Source organism: Homo sapiens, chromosome X, assembly GCF_000001405.40.
Source record: "Homo sapiens chromosome X, GRCh38.p14 Primary Assembly".
In the NCBI taxonomy this organism is placed as follows: domain Eukaryota; kingdom Metazoa; phylum Chordata; class Mammalia; order Primates; family Hominidae; genus Homo; species Homo sapiens.
In genome coordinates this window covers 17,848,226-17,866,381 of record NC_000023.11, presented here as the reverse complement: position 1 = coordinate 17,866,381, position 18,156 = coordinate 17,848,226, and the positions used below count along the sequence as shown (strand labels likewise).

Genomic DNA, 18,156 nt, shown 5'->3' with positions numbered 1-18,156 from the left:
TTGAGCATCAACTCCTTTCTAGGCCTGGTTCCTAGCGTAATAGTGACCATCCATCCTGGTTTACTGGAAAGACCCAGTTTATCCCTTTTCCCCTGACATAGTTGTTAATAGCAACCCCTTTCACCCTCAGTAGCATCCTGCTTTAGGTGATCAACTATGTGGTCACCTGCATAATGTTTTTGCTGCCAGTTGCAAATGGAGTTACATTAGCCTCACATCCATCAGGAGAGGGAGGGATGCTCTCCTAGAGAGTAAGAACTTAGCTGGGAATCCCCAGCAAACCTCTCCTCTCATTTATTTGGCCCTAATTATAGCAAGAGGGATGCAATTTTTCTTAGCTCAAATAGACCTACCCTAAATATAGGATGAAATTCTAAGGTACATAGGTTTCACAGGAGAGGGATGGAAGTCTGAATATTAGTGTTCTGTTAGGAAAGAAAAATGGAGAATACAGAATACAGCAGCCACAAGCAAAGCCCTTTATAATGAGCTTGCTTCTTACTTGTGATAATTTCTCAAAAATCTCTATGAAATGCAATGCTCTACTGCTTGTGAGACTAGACAGAGCTACAACTGGACAATGAGAGGCTTCAATGCAGTGCAGGGATGGTACTTTATTATTCTTTGCTTTCTAGCAGGTAGCTTAGTACTTTAAAGTAATAGCTGTTCAGTATATACTTACTGATTGCCAAACTAAAGGACCAACTCACATATCCTTTGATCCAGTCTTTGCTAATTTTATCCAAAGTGCATAAAACAGTTCATAGGAAGTCCTCAGATGAAGAATACTGAAACTCCCCACCCCCATGCAGAGCGCAGTAGATGTCTCTGTCCCATCCAAAGAGTCAAAACCTTTCCCTCACCTCATGAGCTCTGAACATTCCTCAGGTAAAAATGTCATTCTCGTTGGACTGTTTCTCTGAATGCTTTCCATCCTCTTTCCCTAAACCTGGGTTTGATTTCGGTCCTCTGTGCTTCAGTTATCCCTTGCATTTTCTTCAGCATTTCTCCTTCTGCCTTGTGATTATGTTTTCAAATGCCTGCCTCATTCACTCAATCACCCAGTAAATATTATTAACCACGAAAACATTTGTAAAACAAAGTTTCCATTTTAAATACATTATTCCACTTCAGTAAAATATAGACCCCTTAAGAAGTTAAGAATCTCTTGAAAGCAATAGACAATTTCCCCAGATGCATTCACACCGGTGAGCATTAAACTGACATCTACAATTTCAGGGCTTTCAGGAACCCCTTGAGAAACCCACATGTTCATAAAGATGAGGTCAGATTGTGTTGGTGTACCCCAGGGTGAAGGGCTCAGCCACCAGCCCAATTCACACATGTCTTCTACAGAGTTCACCAAGTAATACTGGTTCAACCAACACCCGGGGCCTAACAACTCCAAAATCCTGGTCTGCAACTTAAATTTTGAACTCCAGATCTACTCTTCCAAATGCCTACTGGACAGCTCTACGCGGCTAATCAACAGGCACCTCCAATTCGAGATGTCTTAACCAGAACTCCCTGGAGCAGATACTGATGATGCACCACCCACATCCCTTGGGTGCTACCACTTTAATGTGCTCCACAGACATCCAGCTGCCAGGATCTTCTCTCTGTATTTGGGAAGGATCTTCTGCCTATGCTGGGTGGTAGGTTGGAATTGCCAGAAAATCAGCACCCCCTGGACTGCTCTTAACTAGCTTCTTCATCTCTGGAGTGGGTGCTTGGTATCCTGTCCAAGAGTTTGCCTGTGGGATTAAGCTCCAGTTGCTCACAGTGGTAACTGGCCTTGTGAACATGCCTCCCATTGATGGCTGTCCCTCTGGCTTCCTTCCCTCCTCCCCTACAGTGTTTCCTTCAGTTCCCAAATCAACTTTCTGCACTGGAATCCTTGTCTCAGGATATGCTTCTGGGGGAACCTACGACACTTGTCATTGCCAGCCCCAAATCTGCTTCTCTTCCTAGGGACCTCTATCTCAGTGACCACGCCCCCACCCACCCTGTCACCCAAGTCAGAAAACCAGGTGTCAGTCACCCTTACTCCTGTTTCCTCCATCATCAAGCCTTGTTGATTCTGCATCCCAAGTACCACCTGACTCAAGTTCCTACTCTTCATCTCTGCTGGCAGGACCAATCATTGCAACAGCCTCTCTTACCTGGTCTCCCTGCTGCCAATCTCACCTCCCTCTGATCAGCCCACCACACCAACCAACAGAGTGATCATTCCTCAATCCAAATCTTTCCTTGTCATTCCCTTGCTTAAAGCCTTTCAATGGTTCTCACTGACTGCAAGGAAAAGCTCCTTGACAGGACAGACCAGGGACTTCAAGTGACCTGTAGCTTCCCTTTCCCCCTCCTCTACTATTCCTCACAGCCTCTACTCTGGACTTACAAAAAATCTGCAGCCTCTAGATAGTGTTCTGCATCCCAGCTTCAGTTCCCTTCACTTATAATGCCTTTTGTTTACTTTGGAAACTTCTATTTGTCTCTCAGCACTCAGCAACTGTCACCATCTCTGGCAACCTTTTCTGACTTCCCTGCCCCATGCCATTCCCTATTCCTTCCCAGTGCAGGAATAGGCCCACTCCTTGGGTGTTCACCCAGCCTATTTTATAACTCACCATGTACCACACAATGTCAAATTGTATTATTAACAGTTCTTAATAATCTGTGAGCATACTGGGGTCAGAAACCATGTATTCACCATATCTCTAACCCACATCCTTAGCTCAGTGACTGTGCAGCTAGTAGGTGCTTAATAGATGTTTATTGGATAAACAAACTAATCGCTCATCTGGCAAGTATGTGGAAACTCGATTATAAGGAGATGCTGTATGAGAGAAGGAGGATATGGGTAAAAAGAATAAGATCTGGGATGGGAAATTTCTTGGGTACTTATTTAAAATCACCAAATATTACAATTACAGATCTCAAAAATCACCCTGACCCATCCTGGAAGATTTTGAGGTTGTTCTTTCCTGCTGTTTCGGCATGTTCCTTCTTCCCTCCATTTTCTTAGGCACCCCTTTAACTGTATGAACAAAATTATTCCACATTAATGTCCTATTTCTGTCCCAAAGCACCACCCCACACGCACACACAAATCCAGACCCACCCTTTATGAACCTTTTTTCCTTCCCTTTGCAAGGGCAGCCAGGATGAAAAGGCAGAAGGGTGCCACTGTATGTTTATTTGGGAATGGGGGCCATGAAGCCTATTTCTTCTGCATTAATCTGAATCAATATAATCTTTCCTGAAAACATAAGCACCTCAAAGGGCAGCAAATATGAATCACAACTGCCAGTGAGGATCAAACATTAACCCAGGGTTGTGATGAGGCCAACAAAAGAAATAGGCTAGTAATTGCCTTCCAGGATATCAATCCCTACCTTATACACACATACCCCCTCAACACACACAAAACCTTTATGGATCTTTCATCCATGAACTTGCCCAATTATAATTGCCCAGCTGTGTCTTTAGTTGGATTCAGGCTAGGTCTTGGCAACCGAGACCTCACATACCTTATCCAAGAACTTAGAACAGTTATGAGATCTATAGAGGAAGTCTTTGGTTGCTGAAATGATTGAAGACACATTCATAAATATTTCCACAGGTATCATTAATTAGTTGGGGCTGATTTTAAACCCCCCAAAACCTGATTGAAACAAGTAGAAACTGACACTTTCTGTTGATATTCATTATTATCAATTCTTAAACTTGCACTGTGTGTCTTTCCACCCCTGTGTGGTCTGGGTACTTCTTAATTTAACTCTTCTTTTTCAAAAGAGGAAATTCAGTATCAAGGAATGGTACTACCAGGGCTGACTTCTCCCTTAGGCATAGTAGACACAGTGCCTGGGGCTCATGTTTAGGGACCCACATAAATCTTTTAATTTCTTTTAAAATCAGAAGAAAAAATGAATTTTTAGGTTGAAGAAACTGTTTTAATATATAATGCTATTATATTCATCTTTACACAAATGCAATTGTAAAATGTAATTTGTAATATCTTTCTACGGAGGAAGGAGTCCACAAAGGCAAAAGTGCTCAAGACAGACATCATTCAGCCTCAGTTACTACCACCTTATGCTTGCAACACAACATAGTTAGAATACAGCCTTTCAAACACAAGTTCAGGCTCCCATACTAATTATAAACTGTGTTATAAAACTCAGATTTGATAAGAGGAAAGTCATGTTTAATACACACAGTATTGGAACTTCAGGGGGCTCGAGACTACCAAGAACAACTAGATTCATTTTATTCTCTGCTCTGATTAAATAATTTCTGCTCTGCTATTCTCTCTCAAATATCTTCATCCTGTTTTGATTAATAGAAAAAAATCTTTACATCTTTGGAGAATCATTAAACCAATTTGGTTGCTTCCTTGGCTGTCTCAAGAATTCTAAGGGTTTATTGTTTTCAGTTTTAAAATGATCAATAGTACAACTGACACCTACTACTTATTTACTGGTCAGCAATCATACAGTCACCGTCCCTGTAACTCCAGTTCTTTGCCCAGTATCTGGCAAACACTAGGCGCTTAATAAAGGTTAGATTGATACATGAATCACCTCTTGGATGGAAATTACATTACGTAGGTGGACTAATTTGATCTTTCCTAATCTCCCACCTTGTGAGAAGCATCCTCCACCGGTATCACAATTGGCATTTTCGGGTGATCGCTGAGCCCTTCCCACCTCCCCCGCTTCCATCAGCCAGCCACTTCCTCCCTTCTGGGCTCTGTTCCTCGCTCTTCTCCATCCTGGGGTCTGGAATGGTCCCCAGCCCGCCGGGAGGCAGTAGGGTCCCAGCTCCTCCGGCCCTCCCCCGGCGCTCCCCCCAAGGTCCTCCTCCCCGCCCCGACACCCCTTCTTCCTGGCACCCCGCGCCGCCCACGGCCACGCCCTCCCCGTGGGCGAGATCACCTGTCCCTCCTCCGCCGCCGCCTCCTCGGGTACCCTTTCGCCCCCCTCCTGCTCCCCCTCCTCCGCCGCCTCCCCCAAGCCCTCCCCTTCCCCGCCTCCTCCCACCCCTTGGTGTATATAGTAAAGGCCGGGCGCCGCACGCAGACACACACTCGCCAGGACACAGGCGCACACACGCTCACGCACAACCAGCAGCGGCGGCGGCGACAGCGACTCGGTGACAGCGGCGACGGCGGCTCCCACCGCGGCGCACCCCCTTCAGGCGGCCGGCGGCGAGGCCAGACCGGAGAGTTCCAGCACACTCGACCACCCCGCGGCTTCCTGGAGGCGGCGGCCGCGATTGCGAGGTAGTGGCCGCGGCGCCCCCGTGCGGGCCGGGGTCACCCCCGCCCTCCCCGCGCGGAGCTGCCACCGGGACGCAGGGGGCGCGCCGGGCTGGGCGCGCCTGGCGGGGCCCGGCGCCCGGGGAGGGGCCTGCTCCCGGGGGCAGGACGGCGCCCGGAGGCCGGGGCCGGCTGGGAGGGCCGGGCGGGGGCGGGGACGCGGGCCGAGGCCGCCGCCCGTGTGGCGCGCCGGGGCCCCGCTCCCGTTCCCGGCGCCGCGCACTGGCCGGCGGGGCCGGGGACTGCCGGGGAGGCGGCGCCGGCCGGCGGGGCGGGGGCCCCGAAGTGGGTTTCGGGCCGCCGCCCGCACTGGCATCGGGCGCAGAGGGCGGTGCACGGCGGACTCCGCGCCCAGGCACCGCACCGGGCAGTCTCCGGATCTGCCGTTCTGCCCCGGCCCGGAAAACCCGGCGCCTTCCAGGCCCTTCGAAAGATGGATTCTGTTGACGTATCTGGCGGCCCTGGCGAGCCTGGTGGAAAGTTGGGTTTTGCCAGATTGCGCCGGGCTCCTCTTTGTGACGCGCGGCCAGCCCCGCATCCCCCCCGGAGCCGGGTGAGTGTGCGTCGGCGCCCCGGGAGCCCCGGTGCCCCCCAATGCCCAGCCCCGGGGTGGCCGCACCAGCTCGGGCTTTCTGCCATGTTAGGCACCGAGCAACGTTCTCGCTGCATTTTTGCGTGCGTTTCAGTGGCGCCTTTTGCTGCGGAGGGAGTTATTGCTTCTCTCCGCGGTGGCTTTTTCGGGGTTGGGGTTGTGCTCTGTGTGTTTGCTTGTTTGCCATTTAAAGCCCGACTATTGTTCAGGATAAGCTCCGCCTGGGTGGGGAAATGGCATCCCACCACAGTTGCTGGCGAGGGGTAGAAATGTTGCCAAACAGCTGCTGCTTTGTGTTTCCCTATCAGAAGTCCTTGGAGTAGGTTTGGGGCACGACGGATGGATGGAGAGAGGGATGGGGCACGGAAGAAGAAGGTGGCTTTGGAGGAGCGGGTTGTTACCCACACCATGGCACTCACTCAGTCTCCCTTTCTGCCTGCCAAACTTTTATGAATATTCCTTTTGTGGCAGAGGGAAGCTTAATGAATTTAGCCCAGTTTTCCAAGGAAAAAGCAACCCAGCTTTAACAATGGTTTGAGAACTTAATCAATGAAAAAGGCAGGAGAGGAGGACAAGGAGGCGCCGACACCATATCGGGTATGTGGCTGCTGCTTGCAGAGTCAGGTAGGGGAGAGGTGGGGAGGGCACGGCGCAGCGTCTGGGTGACCGTGTTCCCGGAACTGTTGGTAGCTCTCACCTGTGCCCGCTGGTGCCACCCACCGTCGTGCCCCTATGTCGTGGGCTGTTCAGAACCCAGCGATGGGGTTTGAGGGGCGGCTTGCGGCAGTGCGCGGGCCGGCCCCCCTCATCTGGCGTTTTTAAGGATGTGTAAATATTTTGCTGAGGATAAGTGACATCAACAGAATGATATTCCGCAGAGCCCGGGTGTGCAGCGATGATAAATAGATATGGCCAAACAAAGTTTTGATAACCGCGTATTCTCATGGCTCTGTCTGTTTCATTTGGGTCTTTGTTTTTGTTGGTTTAGCATTATCTCGCATCCTCTGGTGTGATCCCTTTATTTAACTGATTCTTGGAAGCTTCTCTTTAGAACAGAGAGAAAAGCAGCCAGCAGGGAGAAAACAATTCTTAGCCTTGCAAGCATCAGGCAAGGTTTTCTGTGCTTTTCCCAGGGAATCTTTCCCACCGTTTTCTGGATGTCTCTCTTGCTCCTTTGGAGTCATCAGAATTGGTTGTTGGTGGACCGAGAGACTTGTGACAACTTTGAAAATGTGGTGTGGACATGCCTTTGTTACAGTAGAGGGGTGGCAAGGTGGGAGGGGGACAATACGGAAGGGGACAGTATGGAGGCTAGTTTTCTTCTCAAACGGGAACATGAGAAGCCAGGGGTGGGCTGGAAGGCAGAGAATTGTAAGATGGTGGCATCCCAGTTTCTCTGCCTCTTACAAGCCCAGAGAAGCCACCTGCCCCCACACCCCCACATACACACAGTCTCCTTCAAATGGGCACTCGCTTCTCGTCCTGACAGATGCCCACTAGAGGCATCCCCAGGGCAGCCCAGGCACTATGAACCAAGTCAGACTGGAACTTGGGGGTAGTGACTACTTTGGCACCAGCCCAGGGGACCATTCAGCCACCCGAGGGGGTTCCTTTATGATGAAAAAAAGCCAAGACCTCCAGTGGTGATGTTTTGCCCAGGAAAACCTGTTCATCTGAGGAACAAATGAAAAGACAGTTTTCCAAGCGATGCCGATCGCTGGGGTGAGAACACGGTTTGGTGGGCAGCTGGGGAAGAACTGTAAGACACATTTCAAAATCTTGTATCCAGAATACAGAGTCCCTGAAACAGGACCATCTGAACTACAAGAAAGAAAAATCAAAGACTGGAAGGTGTGTGAGGAGCTGTTGCTGGGAGTGCTCTAGCTGTAATGACCCAGAAGCTGAGGATAGGACTGGCCTCCCAAATCCATTGATCCAGAATGGAGATACTCTGGATGTGCAGAAAGCCCTGCACAGCGTGCTCCAAATTTATGATAAGAAAATAGGAAACGTCTGTTCTCTGGCTTCTCCCCTAAGCTTAGAATTTTGGAGAGGATGGTAGTGGAGGGAAATAAATTGGGAAGGGAACTAACATGTATTGTTGGCCTCTGTCTGCTAGGCACTTCACATGTGGTAAACCTTCTCAGCCACCCTGTGATGGAAGAATTATTTTACAGATAAGGAATCTGAGGCTCAGATAAATTTCCAGTTGTGTATCTGATTTCAGACTTTGGTGGTTATGATTTAAAGGGGCAACATGTCCCTATTCCCCTGCTCCAGGTCTCTTATTTATTTCTCTTAACCTGTCTGAACCTCAGTTTCCTTACCTACAAGATGGGAATAATCTTTCCCATCTCACATAGACGTTGTAAAGATTAAAGTGGGACACGTCAGCATGGAACCACGAAGGACTAAAACTGGAGTATGACACCAGGAACTCCAGGCCCCTAACCAAACATACAAATCTCTGGATCTCTTCCTGCTGGATCTTTCAGCCCCTCCACCTTGGCAAAATCTGGTACACAGTTGGTGGGGATTGGGGGGAAGGTGGAAGCCCACCAGTGGGCAACCCAGTCACCCACAGTGCATACTTATGTGCCAAGTAGATAGATCCGAAATACCCTGTGTCAGATGGACAGACTGTACCCTTTCATCTTGGAGTCCCCACCACCCAACTGTTGCTTAATAAATGAGAGTTGAGTGACTAAATGATGGCACTGATGGAGTGAATGGCAGTGGGGAGGGGGCTGTAGATCATTGTTAAGGGAGACCCAGCAAGGAGAGATCCAGAGATTTGTACGTTTGGTTGGGGGCCTGAAGTTCCTGGTGTCATATTCCAGTTTTAGCCCTTGGTAGCTCCATGCTGACAAGCCCCAGTTTAATCTTTACAAAATCCATGGGAGATGGGCAAGATTATTCCCATCTTGTAGGTGAGGAAACTAAGGCTCAGAAAGGTTAAGCAACTAACTCAAAGTCCACGAGGGACCAAAGGCTGGGTGAGGTATTTTTAACTAGAAACTGTCTCAAATAAACAAACACTCTATAGGAAAATGAGGAGGGAACTTGCTATGCAAATGTATCGTTAAAGCAAGCCCCGTAGCCCCCTTCCAACCAGGTGGTAGTCTTCAAACTCCTAGAAATTCTGGAGCCACCGAGGGAGCTGGGCTTTGAATCTATGTATGAGGAGCTCCTCAATGCTGCCTCCCTGAACAGAATATGAGGGAGACCTCAGAGAATGAGGGGGAAAGATGGCTAATTGCACTCTTCCCACACACAAAAGCCTGCGTGGGATTCTGAATTAAGCTTGATTTGGGGATCAGGGTGACATCCTTGCTGTAGAGTTGGCAGCTCTTGTCTTTGGAGAATGCCTCTGATTACCACTTCTCCCTCCCACCTGATCGTCTGCCCGGGTGCCCATCATCTCATTCTTTCCAGACTCAAAGCCTTTCCTTCATGGCTCACAATGTTGATGAGCCTCTTGAGTCTGCCACTTCACTGTCCTCTGATGGCAGCTGGTGAGAAGCTGATTTTGGCGGCCAGGTTAGTACTTCTGGAGTTCACACATGACCCTCCTCTCTCCTGCCAAGAACACACACACGAACACACATGCACACACAGACACAGGCACACATAATTTGATCACGTTTCTGTATCTGCTTCACCAAATTAGATTCAAACCCAGAATTGTTATTGGAAGAAGTATGTGACTTTGGTGTTCTCTCCCAGCCCCTGCCCTGAACAGACCAGAACAGCTAAGATGGAGGCAGCTTAGCCAGCAGATGTCTTGAGCCATGATCATACTTGCTGGCCTTCCCACTGCTGTGGGGCAGCACCGCAAAACATGGGCATGGTCTGCCTTCATCCGTCTGGGCTGCTATAACAAAATCCCATAGGCTGGGTGACTTATAAATGATAGAAACATATTTCTCACCGTTCTGGAGGATGGGAAGTCAAAGATCAAGATACCGGCAGATTCAGTGTCTGGTGAGGGCTTTTTTCCTGGTTCAGAGATGGCATCTTCTTGCTGTGCCCTCACATGGTAGAAGGGGCAAGTGACCTCTCTGGGGCTTCTTTTACAAGGGCACTCATCCCATTCATGAAGGCTCCACTCTCACGACCTAATCACCAACCAAATGCCCCACCTCTTAATACCATCACGTTGGGGATTAGGATTTCAACACAGGAGTTTGGAGGGGACAGACACATTCAGACTATGCATGGTCCCAGGGCCTTTCATAAAAGCCCATTTTAATCTCTACTGAGACATAGGGCTGGGCTCCTTGAACATCCCAATCCTTGTAATTCCAATTTCTGCTGTAATTAGCTCCAACAACTCAGTAATTCTAGAGAACTTTGGAGCACACTCTGCTCACACCTGTCACTCCTCTTCCCACAACTTTTTGGTCTTCCAGCACAGCACTGTCTAATAAAACTTTCTATGATGATGGAAATGTCACATGTTTGCACTGTCCCACACACTAGCCACTAGCCACATGCAGCCATAGAGTGCTTGAAAAGTGGTTGGTCCAAATTAGGATGTGCATTAAATATAACAGATGCATGGGATTTCTGTGACTTAATACAAAAAAAGAATCCAAAATAGCTCATTAATAAGCTTTGCATTGATTACATGGTAAAATGATAATATTTTGAATATATTAGTTAAATATGATAGAGTATTAAAATTAGTGGCTTCTTTTATTTTTTTAAATGTGACTACAAAAAAAATTTAAATTACATAAACATTTCTATTAGACAGAGCTGCTCTGGAGCAAACTAACCAACCTCGTGACTTCAGCCTCCAGATGTTCTGGGGACATAAACGCTCTCCATCTCGATGGCAGGTGGGAGGCAGGGGGCTGAGTCAGTAGCCACAGCAGCCTGGCATCAAGCGATTTTGATTTTCAGTAGCTCAGGTGCCATGATGGAGGTTCCCCGTGGAAACTAGCCATGAGCATGTTGGCTCAGTCTCATGCTCTATGAGGAATGTGGGACCCAGAAACCCAATAGAATGGGCACAGGCAGGACTGGCTTGAATGAAATGGCTCTTTCCTTTCCTCGACCCCACCCACCCCACAGGCCGGTGTCCTTGTCCATCGGAGAATTCCTTGACACCTGCTCTAGTAGCAGCTTAAAGTACTATCCATCCCAGGGATTTGTGCTTGGAGAGTAATGTCGCCAGTAGACACCCTCATGCTGACAGTGGGTTATTTAGGGCCAGGGCCAGCCTTAAAGGAGAGAAAATAAAAAAGAGAATGCACACTGTCATTTCCTGACAGCTTGATGAGAACAAGAGCAAGGACATAAATAAAATTTCTGCGAGGGAGACAGAATAAATGCAAGGAAGGTCAATTTCACACAACCATAGCACAGCAGATGAAGAAACCTGGCCAAAGGAGAGTTCAGGGAGGTAGAAGAAGGATTTTGGCTGGCACTATGGTATCATCACATCACATCATTTCTGGGTCCTTCCCTAGGCACTGGTCATGGCATAAATAGACGGAAAGGGATGGGATAATGAACTTGGGACTGCAGTGATTTACAGGTCAGGCGCCTGTGGCTCTGGCTCCTGAGGGGGCTGCCCTCACAGGGGACCCTTGGCTGACCCCCTTGGGCTCCTCAGAAGGAGTTGGTTTTGTTTCACATGGCAGAAGCAGACTGTTTACTGGAGCACAGGAAGAATCCGACATTCTGGCGAAAAATAATTCATTAACAGCCAGGGTATTACCAGTTCCCTGGAAAAGCTCCTCCAGCTGCACTGTAGCAACTGTTCTTTTTCAGCAGCAGAATCGGGCCGTGCTGGCAGCCAAGACTGGGTGTGTTTGGGCGTTTTTATTGTTGTTGTTATTTTTGCCTTTGTGTGTATGGCCACTTTTCCCTTATAATTCAGAGAAAGAAATGGAGGCCTGGAAGGGTTGAAATGGTGTAGCTGTCAGCCATTCTTTCCTTCGTGCTTTAAGCCTGGAAGCTCCAGGCTGACTGTATGAACATAGGTTTTTCCTGATCAAAGCCCATCCCCAAAGTGGGGGCACTGCAGAACCACATAGAATGTTCTAGGATGAAAGGAATTTTAGGGAACTGAAACACCTGTTCTTAAGATTCTCTGAAAGCAATTGGCTGAAGAATCCCTCCCCACCCCCGTATGCACAACCAGGCAGAAAGTCCTATCTTGGCCGTGTGGAATTCTTTTGCTTACTATTAATTGGCACAATGGGGCCAAAGTATGTGATTCATCATCCTAGTTTTGAGGGCATTTGGAAAGCCAGGCAAGCATAACCAAGAGAATGGGCTGCATGTTTTGCTCACTAAGGAATGATTGAATCTACAGTAAATACAAGGAAAGATTCAGGAAGCTTTTTGTGCTCTGGAAAAATATGTCTTTTTAAAAAAATAAGGTTTTTGTCTGCCTGTTTGTTTTTTAATGCCTCATGCTCAGAAGTGTGTGCCCAGCTAGCAAAAAACGGGAAAGAATAGCATTTCCTTGTTTTAGTTTTTTTAAAACTCTAATTGCAGTTTAGGTAAGATACAGTGTATTGATTTTGGTTTTGTATGGAACATAACTAGATAATCATTTTATTTTATGAGATATTAATTTCCACCCATTTAGACTGATGAAATATGCATTTAAAATATCCCATACCTACCCCCACCATCATCACAATATTTCTTTAATGTTCCTAGATTCAGATGGAGAACCTATTTCATTTATATGGAAAAGGAGTAAATATGTTAGTCAACATATATGTAAACCTGCCTTAGATTTTGAAAAAAATGGGATCCTTTCCCTTTTTTTAAAAAAAAAATGAATGTTAAAGGCCAAGCATATTTGGCTTTATCTGGAGCATGGTTTCTTCACCTTGGCCCTGTTGACATTTTAGACCAGAGAATTGTTTGTTGCAGGGGACTGTCCCATGCACCTTAAGATGTTCAGCAGTATCCCTGGCCTCCACCCACTAGATACCGTTAACACCACATCCTCCTACCCTAGACCTTGCCAAATGTCCCCTCTGGGACAAAATTAGCCCTGTTGAAGACCACTTGTCTAGACCAAAATTTAATAAGTACTTTGTGTTTTTTTGGAAAATTCCATTTGACATAATAAAAGACACAATTTTCCCCCTCTGACTTTTATAAATACAATTCATGGGCATGATTAATTAACGGTTGGAAGTGGGTCATGTGCGTGATTTAATTCTAAGGTTGGTGGAAGGGTCTATAAGATTGTATAAGCATAGAGACTTTTTCAAGGCAGGCAATTTTATAAGTCATAGGTGATTGGGGGGCACATTGTAAGAACTAGTGGCTTCTCTGGTTTTTCATAAAGAGAACAGGTTTATTCCTCCCTAATTTCTTTTTCATATGCACCTGATTCCAGGCATGACTTCAAAGTCAGCAGGCATCTTCCCCCACCCCCAGCCCCTCCCCACTGTCATTTCTCCGGTAGCATCTTAAGCCCGAGCCAATTGATTTAGCCATTTAGTGTACTTGTGAGAGCTCTGCTCGTAATATTGTAATGGACTCATTTCAGATTGTAGCAGCCCTTTACCCACCACTAAATTCCATGTTTTCCAGTACTATTGAGAGAGAAAGTCAACAGTACTTTCTCGGTAGATGGATCATTTTTCGTAATGATTGAAATTCAGGTAGCCCCCATCACCCCTGGCAATTTTGTTTCCTTTTACACACATTTGTTTCCTTGAAGCAATTCTCCTTCAGGCAGCTAGCACCTGGTAATGCCTACAGGCAGCAACAGCAGATGAAATGTTGCCACCAGGACAAGCCCTCAGCCATATTCTTTCTGGTAGTCCCTTGAAAGGCTAGAAAGGAGGGTCATGCCTTACACAAGGAAGGTGTCATGCGGGCAAACCATGCCCTGCCCATACATGGAAATGGAATGGGTGTTTGGGGGGCAGGGAGAGGGCAGAGAAGTGGATCACTCATTATACAGGGAAAGTGTTCCCCAGTTAGCCCTCCCCTGCCAGCCTCTGAGAGTGATATGGGAGCAGGGGATGCTGGTGAAGGATAGGGGCAGTTGTTCAGTGCAGAAGTCAACATAGGCCACTTCATTTTGCAGCCATCCAAGGTAGGCTGACCTTTTCCAAAGAGTGTCATGTGTAGGATTCCCTTGCATACTAGCCAGTGAGGAAAAATGGAAAGGTGAGCATTGAGGGATTTGGCAAGCCAGCGACACTTCATTGGTGAGTTCCAGCATCTCTTGAAGAGTAGTTGAAGTCTTCCTTGTCGCCATGAAGAGAGAGGCAACAAGCTGGTAGGGATCCACAGTGTGCTGGGCTCAGGCGGATAAATAATTGATTTGTAGCACGTGACACTTGGACATTCTAAGTTGCCAGTCCGTTGCAGGCCAGGATTCAGGTGATGGTTGCAACACTGGGAGAGGAAATAGGATCATAAATCTGGGCGTTGGAGGCCAGTTTCGTGGTGCAGAGGCCACTGGGGCCACCGCTGTGTGTGCAGAAGCAAACAGACAGATCTGAGTGGTATGTTGTTCCTCAAAATAATGGCAATGGAAATGGCTGTGAAAAACATTTAGGAACTTGTCATAAAAATGCAAACAGTCTTCCTTCTATAGGGAAAAGCTAAATAAACCCTATTGCAGCTGTATTAAGTAGAAACAGATTTGAAAATCGGGTGTTTTTTTTGTTTTGTTTTGTTTCTGAGACACTTATTTATAGCAGGTTGGGCAGAGGCTGCCACTATCTTTCGAGACTCCGGAAGAGTGTTTTCCAGATGGTCCTTGCTGTTTTTCTCTTTATTAAGCTTAGCTAAACAGTGCTGTGCTTGGAAAGGGTCATAGAAACCAGTGTTACTTTTTTTCAGATTACAATGGTCATTGATTGGCTAGCAATCAATGGATGGGAATGGATTGAGCCTGTGCCGATGAATTTCCTATTGCATTTTATAAACAAGAAAAATGTCAAGGAAAGCACAGAATAGGGATACTCTTTCGACTATGCACATCAAAGCTTTGAAAACCATACAGAGTTACATTTCCTATTAATTTCCATTTAAATTTTGTTCTAAAATAATGCTCCCCTCTTTGTGAAAGCTCTACAATGTTACCGTTTCCTTTCCAACATCTAAACAATGTCCAGATCCATTTCAGATTGAGCAATTAGCTCTGGATGCAATTTCCTTTTATGAAAAAAAGAATCACTAGCCCTCTAGACCAAATATAAAATTATTGAATGTGAAAATATCAATATGGGGCCATTTGTTCTAAGATCCTTTTTGGTCTATCACTGGCATTTTAAGAAGGTTAGAAAAGGCCAATTCTGCCCTGCCCTTCCATGTTCGACACAGCCACACCAGAAACCCCAAGCTTTGTTTGTGCTCATAGAGGCTGAGCAGCTGGATTTGAGGTCATCAGGGCTGAAGCTTACAGCCAAAACTGCAAGGGGAAACATCTTAGAATGTCCCATAAGCCAGTGGTCCCCACAGACCAGGTTTGCAGACCACTGCCTGTATCGGACAGGATTTCTGCCCCCTCACAGTGAAGTGGAAGAAAAGTGAAAATGCAGTAAATTTATTTTGTTTAAAGCTAAACCTTTTCCACTTTACAAAACTGCCCTGTATTCCAAAATGATCTTTCCCACTGTCCTTGGTGTGAAACTTTCTCTTACGACTTATCAAGAGATAGTGGATGACATTTGTATTTTGACATCTTGATTTAACAAAGTCAGAAGTTTTCTAACTCATATTGGATCCTTCATTTTAAAAATGCTACTCATCCATAACATTCAAAAGTCTGAGGTTCACCCAGGAGGCCCAAGTAGACCTGGAAGGGGAGGCTTTGTTATGATTCCTAAGCCAGAAACAGCAACCTGAGGAAGGATCCTGGGACCGCTTCCCTGAGTCCCTTCTTTACTCAGCTCTTCTGACCCCTCACTCATAGAGAGCTGGCTTTGTCCTAAGCCCACGTGAAGAATGGAATTGCTTCTTTGGAGGAGTTTGAGGGGGCAAAACTGGCCTCTTGAACATGAACGCACAAGCGTGCAGCCTCAATGCTGAGAGCCTGGGCCCTTTATCCCTGACTCCCAATGTCAGCGCCATTGCCGGTTCTCGTGGGCTTGACCCCCTTCACCCTCTCCTCAGCCATGCCCACTGCTGTCATGAGCACAGGCCTCAAAAGGCTCCCCGGTGTGACCCTGTTCTCCTCACTGCTCTGCATGATTTGTTGCATTGCTCCCCCAGCTGCCGTTCCACAGGCCTGCATCAGCTTCCTCCTGCTAAAGCACCTCTCTAGTCTTGTCACCCTAGCTCAAGAACATTCAGTGGCCCCTTATTCCCTAATAAGGTTGAATAAAAGTCCACATATGAAGCCCTTTCTACTTTCCCAGCCCATTTCTCCTGTCCTAGAGCTTCGACTGGCATTCAGTAAGGCATCATGGGAGGGCGTCTACAGGTTTTACAACTTCTCTGTGCTGGGTTTTGTTTGTTTTCTCATATGAGGGGAGATTTCCAAAAAGGTTATGGGGTATCTTGGACATCTTTCTAGATGAAGAAAATGGAAGGCTTGAGTTTAATGTGAGAGAGAAAGAGAGAGAAGAAAAGAAAAAAAGAGAAGAAAAGGAAGCCTTTCACAAAATGAGGCTTTCTGGTTTCAAGAATTGCAGCCTTACTACAAGTCTCTTACCACTCTGGGTCAGGATACCACCTTTCTGGCCTGCCAGCAAGTGGGTATTGCTTCAGAATTACACTACTACTTATCCTGTTGAGAACTGAGCCACTTACCCAAGCTTTGGAACGTACAACTCAAACATAGTGGAACGGGTCCATCCTAGCCAATGCAGAATGTCCATTCTGTTAGGAAACATCCTCCAATGACTGCTCATGAAATCATAAAAGCAATTATATTACCTCTCATTTATCAAGCTCCTGCTATAGGCTGGACAGTGGTACCAAGTGATTTACATATATTATTTTATTTCCAGCTCCATAACAACCATATGAGGTAGGTATACGTATTATGAACTCTATTTCACAGAGAAGGAATCAGAGGCTTGGATACGTTTAGTAACTTACACAAGATCACACCACTTACAGGAGGTGGAACTGGGATTCTGTACAGCGTGGTTCAGTAGAACTTTCTGCAATGATGGAAATGTTATGCACAGTCCAGTATGGTAGCCACTAGCTACAAGTAAGTGGCTGAGGAAGTGGATTTTACTGAATGTACACTTTGGTAGCAGCTCTAGAATATGCTTGTTTCACCGCACCATTCCGTCTGTCTGCTCTCTGCAGACTTTACATCTCTCTTCCTCCCTCTAGACAAAACACAGCTCTGCTTTTTCTCAGAGGCCTGTAGCCAGCAGTTCTCAAGGGCAAGTGTGCATTAGAATTGCCTCTGTACCTCAGGGAGCAGTGGTCGCTGGCTCAAGTCAGCAGGGAGAAGCTTCCTTCCCACTGCTGTCCTGAAGAGCTTACCCTCTCGTCGTCATCCCAGCTTTATTTGGGCGACTGTTAGATTTGGTCACTTCCTTAGCAATTGTTCTTGAATGCATTCATTTTAATTTGGGATCTTTTGGGAGGAAGAGGGTGGAGAGCCAGTTGCGGGTGAAGGAAGAAGCATGGGCTCTAGGAACTGCCTGACCACCCTAGCAATCTAGGGCAAGCCCAGGCAGAGAGGCCCATTTGCTGTCCAATTTGCTGTTCTCTGTAATTAAACAGGGCAGAAAAGTTGACTAGGAAAGAGTGAGACAGACAGATAATGAAGCTGGGTTTTCCCCCACCCCTCCATGCCCCTACACTTATTTCTTCACCCTAATTAAAGTCTTTGTCCATTTTGGAGGGCAAAAGCCAGCCTCCCTGGGGCAGGGGTAGAGGTGAGGGGGTGTGAGTGGCCAGGAGGCCAGGGAAGGTCTGGAAAGGTCCCTGGAAGGAGATTGTGATGTCAGCCACCTTAACACTTGATCTCCATTTCAGCAGTGCTAAGAATGTTCTTGTTTTTTTTTTTTTTTAGATACAGGTGGAAAGAAGTAGTTGAGGTTACTCACCAAAGCAGCTGTTGAGCTGTTTTTCTTATGAATATTTGTAAAATGAAAGAGTGGTATGGAATATTTTTTTCTGAGTATGCACAAATCTTCTGTTTTCCCCCACAGAGACTAAGCTTTTTTCTTTTCTCTCTGTCTCTCCCTCCCCTACCCTTTTTTTTTTTTTCATTTTTTGTTTTATTTGAGAGCAGAAATCATGTGTCTTTTTTTGTGGCTTGGTCTCAAACCAACAT

The 18,156-nt window shown here is 46.7% G+C and overlaps 1 protein-coding gene across 11 annotated transcripts in view; it reads left to right on the top strand.

Moving 5' to 3' along the window:
• RAI2 (retinoic acid induced 2) overlaps positions 5,084 to 18,156 on the top strand; it is a 61,250-nt gene continuing 48,177 nt past the window's right edge. For 6 of the 11 annotated variants that reach the window (NM_001172732.2, NM_021785.6, XM_006724460.2 and 3 more), the window contains exon 1: positions 5,084 to 5,284. The gene's annotated coding sequence lies outside the window, so the exon portion shown is untranslated. Of the gene's footprint in view, positions 5,285 to 5,476; positions 5,874 to 18,156 lie in introns of those variants that run through there. The other 5 variants (NR_033349.2, NR_033348.2, XM_011545441.3 and 2 more) reach the window with 1 other exon arrangement.